The 14644-nt window shown below is 36.8% G+C and overlaps 1 long non-coding RNA gene across 1 annotated transcript in view; it reads right to left on the minus strand.

Moving 5' to 3' along the window:
• Positions 1-663: 663 nt before the first annotated feature.
• LINC02859 (long intergenic non-protein coding RNA 2859) overlaps positions 664-14644 on the minus strand; it is a 48403-nt gene continuing 34422 nt past the window's right edge. The window contains exons 2-4 of the long non-coding RNA NR_187236.1: positions 11124-11411; positions 9410-9527; positions 664-2503 (exon numbers count right to left, since the gene is read on the minus strand). This is a non-coding gene — a long non-coding RNA (long intergenic non-protein coding RNA 2859). The remainder of the gene's footprint in view (positions 2504-9409; positions 9528-11123; positions 11412-14644) is intronic.

The raw sequence follows: 14644 nt of genomic DNA on the forward strand, positions 1-14644 counted from the left end.
CTGCTTTCATTATAATTCATGGAGAGGCCTATGATCTTGCCATTTTGTCATGATGCCATATAGTAGCCAATGAATACTAAATTGTATGCTTCTTAGCTATTTTTCTACCACAGTTTCAAGTGGTAACAGATTTCACCCATGTGCTGCAGTTTGTCCATTTAAAATCTTACCTGCCTAGAATGTGTGAAATCACAGAAACCCAGAAAAGAACACTATTTTTACATACGCGAAGTTTGGTGTCATAGAAAGAGGATCCAAGTACATTTGGCCTTGGATCCTTCCTCTACCACTTAACGCTGTTGTGGCCTCAGGAGTGTCACTTGATTCCTTTTGTTCATAAATAAAGTAGTGATAAAAGTGTTTACCTTTACATGTTAATTGTAAGGCTAGGAGATTTGCTATGGAAAATACTTTGCCCAGTCTTTAGCATGTAGTAGGTGCTTACTAAATGCTAGTTCATTAATATCATTGCTATTATCATTACCGTCTCTGAATGGTGCCAAAGGACTAGTTAGAAAAGTTAAGATAAAAACAGCTCTTGAATTTATTCACTTGGGCCTTGATATAGACTGGGCCTTTTATGTTGCCAAAATAGCCAGGGAAATATAAGTGTAAAGTCACATTAAAATGTTTCATGCAGGGAAAAATAAGTGGTCTCCTAACTTGATTTTGCTCATTTATTTTTCCAGCAAGCATTAAACCATAATCAGGCCCTTACAACTGGAAACATCACATAGCAATTAGAGTTTCACATGTCACAACTGAGGTCTTTGGGGAAAGAGATGCTACTGACATACCAGCCCATTCTGTCCTTTGCAACCTAATGTCCCCGTTGTTACAACCAGCATTTTGTAATACACTTTTACTATCCTGAAATGAAACTCATAGATAAAATAACCTGTCTTCTCATTGGGTTTTTAAAAAAAATGCCCTAAGTATCTATCATTAGAGGAAAAATAAAAGGAAAGTAATATACAATTTAAAATAATCTAAAATGCTATGGCACAGCTACATTGGGGAACTTAATAAAGTTGTCAGACACTTTTGCTTAAAAATAATATCACCTTGACTGCAATATCTACAAATACAGATTGACACAGATGGCTGAACTGGCAACTCAGACACCAAGAGCTATATTGCATCTTTGATGCTATTTTCTAGAATGGTGAATGACTCTTGATAAGTTCCAAACACAGCAAAGCATGATCTTTCCTTAATTTATGTAATTGTGTCCCTGGAAAATTTAGTGTATATTAAAACTGTGCAAAAATATTTTGTGTTATATGTATATATGGAGTTAGGCTCTATGCCAAGACAGTTACAAAGAGGTTTTTCATTGACAAAAATGCCTGGAGGGACATCCCTAACTTGTCCAAACTTGAACTTGGGACAATTTTTCATTGTGTGCAATTGTCTTGCCCATTGCAGAACATCTAGCTCAGTGGCCCTTTATCATTTTAAGGCTAATAGTGCTTACTAATTACTGGGACCAAGAAAATTCCACAAAAATTTTTCAAAACATCCCCTAAGGATGTCCTGCTCCTGTTGAGACTACCGCTATAGTCATACTAAGCACTTGCAATTCTCTCAACAGCCAGCCTTTGCTTATTCTTTTTTTCTCTGTAGGATATGCTCTTCCTCTACTTGGCCTTGCTATTAATGACTTAACCCTAAAGACCCACATCAGGTATCTCTAGTCTAGGAAGTCATCTGTAAAGCTCCAGTTGCCTTCCCTTTGTGTTCTCATAAGACCCTCTGCTTAAGGAATTTCGACTTTGATTGTACAGTATTATTTGTTTTCCTACATCATCTAAGAGCTCCTGAAGGCAGAATAAATCAGTCAATTTATTTTTCTTTATCTTTATTTACTTATTTTTACCTATTTAAATTTAAATTTATTGGTTTCAGCCTGCTAGCTTTGAAGAATACAAGAAGTTCGAGCAAGGAGAGGTTCCCTGCAGCACAGCACAGCTGCCTTGCCAGATCATGGCCAGACTGCTTCTTTAAGCGGTACCTCAATCTATTCCTCTTCACTGGGCAAGTCCTCCCTGCAGGGGCTTCAGCCACACAAGCAAGGGTTCTACAGACAAAGTTCTGATCTCTCCCTGGAATGAAGCTCACAGGGGAAGAGCAGCTGTCATCTCTGCAGTTTGGTAAACTCAGCCATTCCAGCCTGCCAACTTTGGAAAATACAAATGGTCCAGGCAAGGAAGGGTCTCCTGGCACCTACTCTACCAAAGGGCAGCCAGAGGGCTTCTTGGGGTGGGTCCCTGATCCCATTCCTCCCGAGTGGGTGGGACCTCCCAGCAGGGGTCTCCAGCCACCTCCTACAGGCATGTTCCTTCTGGCAACAGGTCAGTGCATCCCTGGGATGGAGCTTCCAGAGGAAGGAGCAGGCTGCCATCTTTGCTGTTTTGCAGGCTTCACTGACGATACCTCCAGGTACAGGGAAAAACTGAAGCAACTAAGGTCTGGAGTGGACCCCCAGTAAACTGCAGCAGTCCTATGGAAGAATAGCATAACTGTTAAAAGAAAAACAAACAGAAAACAACAACAACATCAACAAAAAAGACCCCACAAAAACCCCAAAGGACAGCAAACCTCAAAGATCAAAGGTAGATAAGCCCACAAAAATAAGAAAGAATCAATGCAGAAATCCTGAAAACTCAAAAAGCCAGAGTGCCTCTTCTCCAAATGACAGCAACATCTCTCCAGTAAGGGCACAGAACTGAGCTAAGGCCGAGATGGCTGAACTGACAGAAGTAGGCTTTGAAAGGTGGGTAATGATGAACTTAGCTGAGCTAAAGGAGCATGTTGTAACCCAATGCAAAGAAACCAAAAATCATGATAAAACAATACAGGAGCTGATAGCCAGAATAGCCAGGTTAGAGAAGAACATAACCAACCTGATGGTGCTGAAAAACACAGCAAAAGAACTTCACAATGGAATCACAGGTATCAATAGCAGAAGAGGCCAAGCAGAGGAAAGAATCTCAGAGCTTGAAGACTATCTTTCTGAAATAAGACAGGCAGATAAGAATAGAGAAAAAAGAATGAAAAGGAATGAACAAAACCTATGAGAAATATGGGATTATGTAAAAAGACCAAACATACTACTGATTGGGATATCTGAAAGAGATGGGGAGATAGAACCAAGTTGGAAAACATACTTCAGGATATCATCTAGGAGAACTTCCCCAACCTAACAAGATAGGCCAACATTCAAATTGAGGAAATGCAGAGAACCCCAGTAAGATACTCCATGAGAAGATCAACCCCAAGACACAACATAATAAGATTCTCCAAGGTCAAAATGAAAGAAAAAATGTTAAGGGCAGCCAGAGAGAAAGGCCAGGTCACCTACAAAGGGAAACCCATCAAACTAACAGAAAACCTCTCAGTGGAAACCCTACAAGCCAGAAGAGACTGTGGCCAATCTTCAGTTTTGTTGTTTTTTTTAAGACAGAGGCTTGCTGTATTGCCCAGGCTGGAGTGCAGTGGCATGATTTCGGTTCACTGCCACCTCCACCTCCCAGGTTTAAGTAATTCTCCTGCTTCAGAGATCCATCATGTGCAAAGACACACATAAGCTCAAAATAAAGGGATGGAGGAAAATTTACCAAGCAAATGGAAAACAGAAAAAAGCAGGGGTTGCAATCCTAGTTTCTGAGAAGACAGACTTTAAACCAATAAAGATTTAAAAAGACAAAGAAGGACATTACATAATGGTAAAGGGTCAATTCAACAAGAAGAGCTAAGTATCCTAAATATATATGTACCCAATACAGGAGCACCTAGATTCATAAAGCATGTTTTCTTAGAGACCTACGAAGAGACATTAGGCATTAGACTACCACACAATAATAATGGGACACCCCACTGTGAGAAAATAGACAGAAAATTAATAAAGATATTCAGGACCTGAACGCAGTTCTGGATCAAGAGGACCTCACAGATATCTACAGAACTCTCCATCCCAAAACAACAGAATATACATTCTTCTCATTGCCACATGGCACTAAGTCTAAAATTGATCACATTGGAAGTAAAACAGTCCTCAGCAAATGCAAAAGAACTGAAATCATAACAGTCTCTCAGACCGATGCAATCAAATTAGAACTCAAGATTAAGAAATTCATTCAAAACCACACAACTACATGGAAATTGAACAACCTGCTCCTGAATGACTCTTGGGCAAATAATGAAATTAAAGCAGAAATCAGTAAGTTCTTTGAAACTAATAAGAACAGACAATGTACCAGAATCTCTGGGATGCTGCTAAAGCAGTGTAAAGAGGGAAACTTATAGCACTAAATGCCCACATCAAAAAGCTAGAAAGATTTCAACTTAACAGCTTAACATTTCAACTAAAATAACTAGAGAGCTAAGAGCAAACAAAACCCAAAACTAGCAGAAGACGAGAAATAACCAAGATCAGAGCTGAACTGAAGGAGATAAAGATGTGAAAAACCCTTCAAAAAATCAACAAATCCAGGAGCTGGTTTTTTGAAAAAAATTAATAAAATAGGCTGGGTGTGGTGGCTCACACCTGTAATCCCAGCACTTTGGGAGGCAGAGGCAGGCTGATCACCTGAGTTCAGGAGTTTGAGACCATCCTGGCCAAAGTGGTGAAATCCCGTCTCTACTAAAAATACAAAAATTAGATGGATGTAGTGGTGGGTGCCTGTAATCCAAGCTACTCGGGAGGCTGAGGCAGGAGGATCACTTGAACCAGGGAGGTGGAAGTTGCAGTGAGCCAAGATTGTGCCATTGCACTCCAGCCTGGGTGACAAGAGCAAAACTCCATCAAAAAAAAAAAAAAAAAGACTGCTAGCTAGATTAATAAAAAAGAAAAGAGAGAAAAATCAAATAAACACAATCAGAAATGATAAGGGGGATATCACTGCTGACTCCACAAAAGGGGGATATCACTGCTGACTCCACAAAAATACATACAACCCTCAGAGAATACTATAAACCCCTCTATGCACATAAACTAGAAAATCTAGAAGAAATGCAGAGATTTCTGAACACATACACCCTCTCAAGACCAAACCACAGAGAAATTGAATTGCGAATAGACCAATAACAAGTTCTGAAATTGAGGCAGTAATAAATAGCCTACCAATCAAAAAAATGCCAGGACCAAATGGATTCACAGCCAAATTCTACCAGAGGTACAAAGAAGAGCTGGTACCATTTCTACTGAAACCCTTCCAGAAAATCGAAAAGGAGGGACTCCTTTCTAACTCATTCTTTGAGGCCAGCATTATCCTTTTACTAAAACCTGGCAGAAATACAACAAAAAAAGAAAACTTCAAGCCAATATTCTTGAACATCAATGCCAAAAATTCTTAATAAAATACTGGCAAACCAAATCCAACAGCACATCAAAAAGCTTATCTACCACAACCAAGTAGGCTTTATCCATGGGATGCAAGGTTGGTTCAACATACACAAATCAATAAATGTGATTCCATCACATTAGCAGAACTAAAGACAAAAACTACATGATTATCTCAATAGATGCAGAAAAGGCCTTTTGTAAAATTCCACATCTTTTCATATTAAAGACTCTAAATAAAGTAGGCATTGAAGAAACATACCTCAAAATAATAAAAGCCATATATGACAACCCCATAGCCAATATTATACTGAATGGGCAAAAGCTGGAAGTATTCTTTTTCAAAACTTGCACAAGACAAGGATGCCCTCTCTCACCACTGTTATTCAACGTAGTATTGGAATTTCTGACCAGGGCAATCAGGCAAGAGAAAGAAATAAAGAGTATTCAAATAGGAAGAGAGGAAGTCAAATTGCCTTTGTTTGCAGCTGACATAACCCTATATCTAGAAACCCTCATCATCTCAGCCCCAAAGCTTCTTAAGTTGATAAGCAACTTCAACAAATTCTCAAGATACAAAATCAATGTGCAAAAATTGTTAGCATTCCTATACACCAACAACAGACAAGCAGAGAGCGGAATCATAAATGAACTCCCATTCACAATTGCTGCAAAAAGAATAAAGTACCTAGGAATACAGCTAACAAGGGAAGCGAAGGACCTCTTCAAGGAGAACTACAAAACATTGTTCAAAGAAATCAGAGAGGACACAAACAAATGGAAAAACATTCCAGGCTCACGGATAGGAAGAATAAATATTGTTAAAATTTCCATACTGCTCTAAGTAATTCGTATATTCAATGCTATTCCTATTAAATTACCATTGACATTCTTCACAGAATTAGAAAAAAACTATTTTAAAATTCATATGGAATAAGTAAAGAGCCTGAATAGCCATGACAAGCCTAAGCAAAAAGAACAAAACTGGAGGCATCATGATACCCAACTTCAAACTATACTGCAAGTCTACGGTAACCAAAACAGCATGGTATGGGTACAAAAAGAGCATAGACCAATGTAACAGAATACAGAACTCAGAAAGAAGACCACACATCTACAACCATCTGATCTGCAACAAACCTGACAAAAACAAGCAATGGGAAAAAGATTCCCTGTTTAATAAATGGTGCTGGGAGAACTGGCTGGCCATATGCAGAAAATTGAAACTGGACCAATTGCTTACACCATATACAAAAATTAACTCAAGATGAATTAAACACTTAAATGTAAAACTCAAAACTATAAGAACCCTAGAAGAAAATCTAGGTAATACCATTCAAGACATAGGCACAGCCAAAGATTTCATGATGAAGATGCCAAAAGCAATTGCAACAAAAGCAAAAATTGACAAATGTGATCTAATTAAACTAAAGAGCTTCTGCACAGCAAAAGAAACAACCATCAGAGTGAACAGACAACCTACAGAATGGGAGAAAATTTTTGTCGTCTATCTATCTCACAAAGGTCTAATATCCAGAGTCCACAAGGAACTTACAAGAATTACAAGAATTTACAAGAAAAAACAACCAACCTCATTAAAAAGTAGGTAAAGGACATTGACAGACACTTCTCAAAAGAAGACATACATGCGGCCAACAAACATGAAAAAAAGCTCAACATCACTAATCACTAGAGAAATGCAAATCAAAACCACAAGAAGATACCATCTCACGCCAGTCAGAATGGGTATTATTAAAAACTCAAAAAACAACAGATGCTGGTGAGGTTGTGGTGAAAAAGGAACACTTTTACACTGTTGGTGTGAGTGTAAATTGGTTCAATCATTGTGGAAGACAGTGTGGTAATTCATCAAAGACCTAGAGGCAGAAATACCATTTGACCCAGCAATCCCATTACTACGTATATATCCAAAGGAATATAAATCATTTTATTATAAAGACACATACACATATGTGTTCACTGCAGCACTGTTTACAATAGCAAAGACATGGAATCGACCCAAATGTCCACCAATAATAGACTGGGTAAAGAAAATGTGGTACATATGTATCATGGAATACTATGCAGCCATAAAAGAATAAGATCATGTCCTTTGTGGGGACATGGATAAAGTTGGACGTCACTATCCTTAGGAACAGAAAAACAAACACCACATGTTGTCCCCTGTAAGTGGGAGCTGAATGATGAGAACACATGGACACATTGCAGAGCAGCAACACACACTGGAACCCGTTTTTTGAGGGCGCAGTGGAGGGAGGGAGAGCATCAGGAAGAATAGCTAATGGATGCTGGGCTTAATATCTAGGTGATGGGATGATCTGTGCAGCAAACTACCATGGCACACATTAACCTATGTAACAAACCTCCACATCTGGCACATGTACCCATGAACTTAAAAATAAACGTTGAAGAAAAAAAATTTAAATGTACCTCTTTATCGTTAGTGTCTGGCTCATGACTGTCACATAAGAAAGATAGATGGATGGGATGGATATTTGAAAAAATCAATAAATGACAATTTTTATCCCAAATATTAATTAAGTAGCTACTTTAAAATATACAATGTGACTGGCTCTCAGAGAGATAACTCAAAAGTGGATTCTGTTATCAAGATGTTGGTAGTTAAGGAGGGGACTTAGATCACTCATGGCCATTTTCAAAAAACAAGTATAAACCATAGCATGTTAATTAGATATGGGTTGAAAGTAATCTACATGGTGCCATGTATTTTATTTAGAATTGGTGGAGAAAAACGCCTTTGTAAAGCTTCGAGTTTAGGAATCATTAATGTTATTTCAGGTGGATTAGGTAGGTTATTCTGATATGGAGCAGAACAACACAGGACTGTTTTTAAAGAGAAGTTTTCATACTTGGAGTATTTTAAAGTACTTTAAAGTGCTTTACAAAGTAATGAGTTAAACATTGGTAGTGAGAAACTATGTATGCTAATGGAGAAACCCATTGTGCTCTTGACAGTAGCTCAAACGGGACTGTGGAAATTAGAAGCAGTTTTATTGATATTGGCCAGGATTTGGGATTAATCCTTGCTCCTTTTGAAAATTGCCATGGGATCTTTAAATTGCACTTGGATGGCCGCCGTGTTTAATAAGATTGTTTTCTAGACCTGAAACTCAACCAAAAAGTTTGTGCACAGACTTTCTACAAATAAAGCATATTTGGAGGTAGCAATTTTTTTCTATAATGAATTTCGATAATGATAGATTTTTATAGAAGCAGCAGCAGGAATAAAAGAATCCCCATGACCCTTTGCTGGCTTTTAGAAGTAATCTCATTGGAGATTCTGAAATATTCAGATAAATGTGTTCCAATTTTGCCTTTGCTCTTCAGGGTTCTGGCTGGGACTAATATAAAGGTGCCAAAAATCTAATGAGGAAGCCTGTTCATGAACAATTTCCATACCACTTTTAACAGACTTGCAAGGTTAAGAAGGTCTGAATAAATATGCAAACTTTATGATATCCAATGGAATAATTTTTCCTGCCTTTGGCCTTTTAAAAATTTTGCACAAAATTCCATCCAAATTCTATCCAAATATAAGTGACAATTTAATTGGAAAGAGTGAAGCAATTTGAAGTTTAAAATTTATTTTAATATATTGTATCATCTATTAAGTTAATACAAAATGAAAGGTTAATACTACTATTAGTATGTTTGAGAAATCCCCACTATAAGCCTACAATGAAATCTACAACATAAATGATAGATATTAAAGCTAATCATTTACTAAAATTCTTTAACATTCTGTTTACATTTTGCTTGAAAACTATGTTACTATAATTCACTATTCATTCACCCAATAGAATTTGATTGGGACCGAGTGCTTCTAAGACAGAAATACAAGTTAAGAAAGGAATCTTGGTAAAGACCCGGAAAGCAGAAGTTTATTGAATCCAGATTTTAGAGTTAGCAATAGTGAGACTATATATTGTTCTGGAATTTAAATTAATCTCCAAACTCTCAGCTTTTACTTATGAACTCTGTCTTTTCACATCATACAGAGGTTTCATATGCTGAAATCATTACCTTGATGTCTGCTTCATTTCCACACCTTTAAAATCCCTGCAGAATACATTCATCAAGCCAACTTTCAAGGAAAAACAAGAAGGAACTTGGTGTATCAATGTCCATGTTACTTGCCCTACTGTATGCAAAACAAAACAATACATTTTTTATAAGTAAAGTTACATAAGCTTGACCACAGATGAGCTTGCCTTACCCATCATAAGCAACATAAGCAAAAGATTGAGCTTGACAGTGCTTAGGGCTCACAATGTGAGTTAGCCCCAGTGTGAGTTTTAGAAGTTGGGGATGGTGAAGGGGCAAGTGCTTCCCCCTTGTCAACATTTCAACGTAACCCCAAAACTTTTCAGAGGTGGAAGCCAGTAAGGAATTATAACTATTGCAAATGTAACAGACTTTTCAAGAACATGGGAAAAATCTGAAGGATAAGAATTATTTTAAAAGAATATACAATTCATATATTTTACTTGTAAAATTATTTATAAAAATTAAAAGTAAACTGTGAGGGCCATCCCATGGTAAAATCTACCTCTATGACATTCCCCTTGCCTGCAGTTTCAGACGTTGTAGTGATGATATGTCTTTCTCAAGGATTGTAATGATAACCCAAACTAAGGCAAAAGCTGCATATTAGAATAGCAGGAACTCTGATTTAGGACATAATTCAGTTTGCATTATCTTACTTCTGCCATGAACCCTGACTCCCCGTGAGATTATAAAGGCAAGGCTCACTCTGTCATATTTGCCACAGTATTCTCAGTGCCTCATGCATCGAGTATGGGTGCCCCTTAAATATTTTTTGAATGAATAAGTAACAATATTTTGGCTTTGACTTCTGTCTTGATCTCAACCATTTCATTTGTAAAATAAGTGGGTTAGGCTAGATGATCTTCATGTCCCCTTCCAGTCTAGGACACTGTTTCTTAACTACCAGCCCTTGTTAACAATACAGATTTCAGGACCAAAATCAAAGTCTCTGGGGATGGGGCCTCGGCAATTGCCCTTTTAATGCTTCACAGATGCTTCTTTTGTACAAGAAATTTGTTCTAGGACCATACAAGTATCTTAAACTAAGTTTAGAAGTAGAAATTTTGACCACATCAAAGTACTTATATATAAAGAGCAAGTAGATAGTGAAGGTGACCATCTTGATAATTTGGTTCTCTAATTGCCCATACTCTTAACTTAGAGATTATGAAATTTTTGTAAGGCCTTTCTACCCAGAGAATTTCCTTCATTCTTGATAGAGGTGGACAAAGATATAGTATTTCCAGATTTGGTTGAAAAGCTATAACTTTTAAATAAAGCACTCTATTCTTTCTTTCTTCATGAAGATATAATTTTCAAGCTGTTAATCTTTCCATATACAAATATATCACTAAACTAGGTTTTGAAATATTATATTATAAACACAGAAAAATCTCTTTAACTGACAGACCAAAATGTAATTGGCTTTCTTAATATTCAAACACATCAATCTTTTAAAATGTTAATTGACATCTACTTTCCTGGATAAGTGTTTTCTTTTATAAAAGTGTAATTTTAAAAACCCTAAATTTAAAAGTTGGCATTGGTAGGTATAAATTTTTCTTATTGACAACAGAAAAGACAACTTTTTCTACTCAAATTCCTACTAGCCACAGAAAATACCAACAAAACGTGATTAATAAAACAACCTTAAGTCTTTTCACTGACATTCCCAAAAACCAAAACTAACCGTTGAGTTTAGGATGCTCAATTGCTTCTTTGTTCTTCCAAACTTCATATTCTTGATGAGGTGTAGATTGATATGACTCAAGGGAAGCCAAAGCAAAGATATTTGTTTTATGTATCTGAACTCTAGTGAAAGCCAAATAGGTAGGCTTTTAAGGTAGACTGAGAGGCCAGATTTTCAGACATCACTCAAGCAGAACTCGTGCTGGGCTCCCTCTCATTTCGATGAGTTGTCCAAACCAAACACAGCCAGTCAATTCCAGTTTTTTCCAACAGTTTGCATAGTTTCCAACTGCGGAAAGGGAGAGACAATTTTCGTGATTCCATGTCAGATGTCAGGCCTGCTGACCTTCAAGGAAAGCTGAGCTTGACAATGGTGAACATTGCCCAGAGTACACAAAGTTAAAATATTTGTTCCTTTGCCAGAAATACAGATGGATGTAAAAATAGGAACATTTTAAAGGTTTAAATTTAAACAGTGTTCTTTAAAGAACACATTATTTTGAAACTTTTTTTTATTCCGGAGCTATCATATATTTTAATTTAGGTGCAAAGAGTATTACACTTTGATTTCCAGTACATATTGTTACACTAAAAAGCAAAGCACAAAAGAATATCTATAATACACAACTCTTCAAATAAGAAAAAAAGAAATTTGAAAAAATATCAATTTCTTTGTGTAGAAGAGATACAGAGAGGGTAAAGCAGAAACTAAAGAGATTGGTTACGTGATGGAGTAAGATGAGAAAAGGATGGAAAGAATAGAGGAATCAAAACAGGTTAGCAGGGATGAGGAGGGCATGACATTTTTCTAAGTATATATATTTAAGAGCTCTTACCCTTAGAATCATAGTAATGTTTCATGTATCCATCACATACCCAAAATAATAAACAATAACCAAGCAGGATCCAGGGGGAGCCCAAACTGGAGCAGAAACAAGAACACATGATCTGCCCATAGTGCAAATAAATAATATAATCATATTCAAGGGAATGGGGAAGAAAAGAACTAGGTTTGGAGAACACTGTCTTGATGGATATTGTAAGGCTAAAGACACAAGGAACTATTATGCATGCATAAATAGGATTATGCATGCATAAATCCTGTAATATTACAAGTAAATGTGTTTCTCAAAGGTTTATGGTTTGACAGTTCTGAAACAATGGGTATGCTAAAATTGAACAAATAGGTAAATATACTGAAGATAATAAGAAATGGGTTTCTCACTGCCAGGGAAAGAATTTAAAAATAAGGAAACAGTAAAAACTAAAGCAGTAGTCCCCAACCATTTTGGCACCAGGGACCGGTTTCATGGAAGACAGTTTTTCCATGAATGGGGTGGGGTAAGCGGTTGGTTTTGGGATGAAACTGTCCCAGCTCAGATCATCAGTCATTAGATTCCCATAAGGAGCGCACAACCTAGATCCCTCACATGTGCAGTTCACAATAGGGTTCGTGCTGCTATGAAAAGCTAATGCCACCCCTAATCTGACAGGACATGGAGCTCAGGTGGTAATGCTCCCTCACCTCCTGCTGTGCAGCTCAGTTCCTAACAGGCCATGGACAGGGTACCGATCAAAGGCCCAGGGGTTGGGGAGCCCTGGACTACAGAGAACACTGTAGTGTTGTACTGGAATCTGATGTATCAGCATAAAGTCATGGCTAGATAGATAGATAGAGATGTAGATGTAGATAGATAGATATAGATATGATTGATAGATATATAGAGAACTACAGATATGGTATGTATATGGCTTAAAGTACACAAATATATTTTCTAACATATAGATAGATATAGACAGATAGATACATACATACACACATATGTACATAGATACATAGATAGAGAACTACAGATATGGCATGTATGTGGGTTAAAGTACACAAATATCTTTCCTAACTCTGTCTGCTAAGGGGGCTTAGAAATAATGGCATCCCAGTAGTAATGCACATGCAGCACTCAGATCTTGGTTTCTAAACACCATTCCCCAATGAAAGGAACCAGGGCCCCCAGGAGAAATGGTTAGTTCCAGGGCTAAGGTCAGAAAAATACAAAATGAACCTGAATATCTTGTGCTAGCAGAATGTAAGGAAATGTTCACTAAAAGATGGGGGCTGACTGAAAAAACAAGAGCCAAATCTAGAACAATTTGAGTAACGAAATAAATGACAATATTGGATTATAACCTACAGAATACCCCAAATATCTATAAGTCCACACTAACATAAATAAATGCTTGTTTAAATAAATAAATGAGAAATAAAGGAAAACTCTTCCTCACTGTAGAAATACAGTTAATAAAGGTACAAGAGAAAGGAAATAGACAATTACAATTAAGCAAACACCATAGTAATAATTGTGTGTCATAAAAACAAGATCCATCAATGAATGTCAAAATTCATAGGTGAAAGTTTGAAGAGAAACACTTTCTATAGCTTCAAAATGTGTCCCCTAAGATCTTTACTAACTACAAAGGAATGATAGTAAGTTTACGGTGGTGAAATGCAGCAGACACCAACTTAACCAAGTAAAGTCAAAATCATATATATATATGGAATCTAAAAAAGTCAAATATATAGAAAAAGAGAAAAGAATAATGGTTATCAGGGGTGGAACGTAGGGGGAATATGGGGAGATGTAGGTCAAAGGATACAGAGTTAAACATATGTATATACATACACACACACATATATATATATTTAAATTGCATATATTTAAGGTGTACAACATGATATTTTGATATAGACATATACAGTGAAATGATTATGACCACCAAGCAAATTAACTTATACATCACCTTACATAGTTACTTTTTTTCTTGTAGTAAGAACACCTAAAATCCACTCCTTTAGCAAATTTCCAGTATAAGATATAATATTATTAGCTATAGTCACCATGCTGTTCATTATAGTCACCATGCTGTTCATTAGATTTCTAGACTTATTCATCCTGCATAACTATAACTCTGTATCCTTTGACCTACATCTCCATATATTCCCCCTACATTCCACCCCTGGTACCATTATTCTTTTCTCTGTTTCTATATATTCAACTTTTTTAGATTCCACATATAAGTGAGATCACGCAGTGTTTTTCATTCTCTGTCTGGCTACTTTCATTTAGTGTGATGTCTCCCATTTTGTTGCAAATGGCAGGATTTCCTTTTTGAAGGCCGAATAAAATTCCATTGCATATATATACTCATTGAAATGTCGACAGACACTTAGGTTCTTTCCATAGCTTGACTATTATGCATAATGCTGCAATGAACATGGAAGCAAAGTTATCTATCTCTGAGGTCTGATTCATGTCCATGGGGTATATATCCAGACTGCTTGGTCATACGGTAGTTCTGTTTTTAGTTTTTAAAGGAACCTCCCTACTGTTTTCCATAATGGCTATACCAATTAACATTTCCTATTTCTTTGGTATTTGTGCCAAAATCCATAACTTCATTCCAATCATGAGAAAACATCAGACAACTCCAAGTTGGGAGACACTTGACAAAATATCTGACCAATAT

The sequence above is a fragment of the Homo sapiens genome, chromosome 11 (assembly GCF_000001405.40).
Source record: "Homo sapiens chromosome 11, GRCh38.p14 Primary Assembly".
Taxonomy (NCBI): domain Eukaryota; kingdom Metazoa; phylum Chordata; class Mammalia; order Primates; family Hominidae; genus Homo; species Homo sapiens.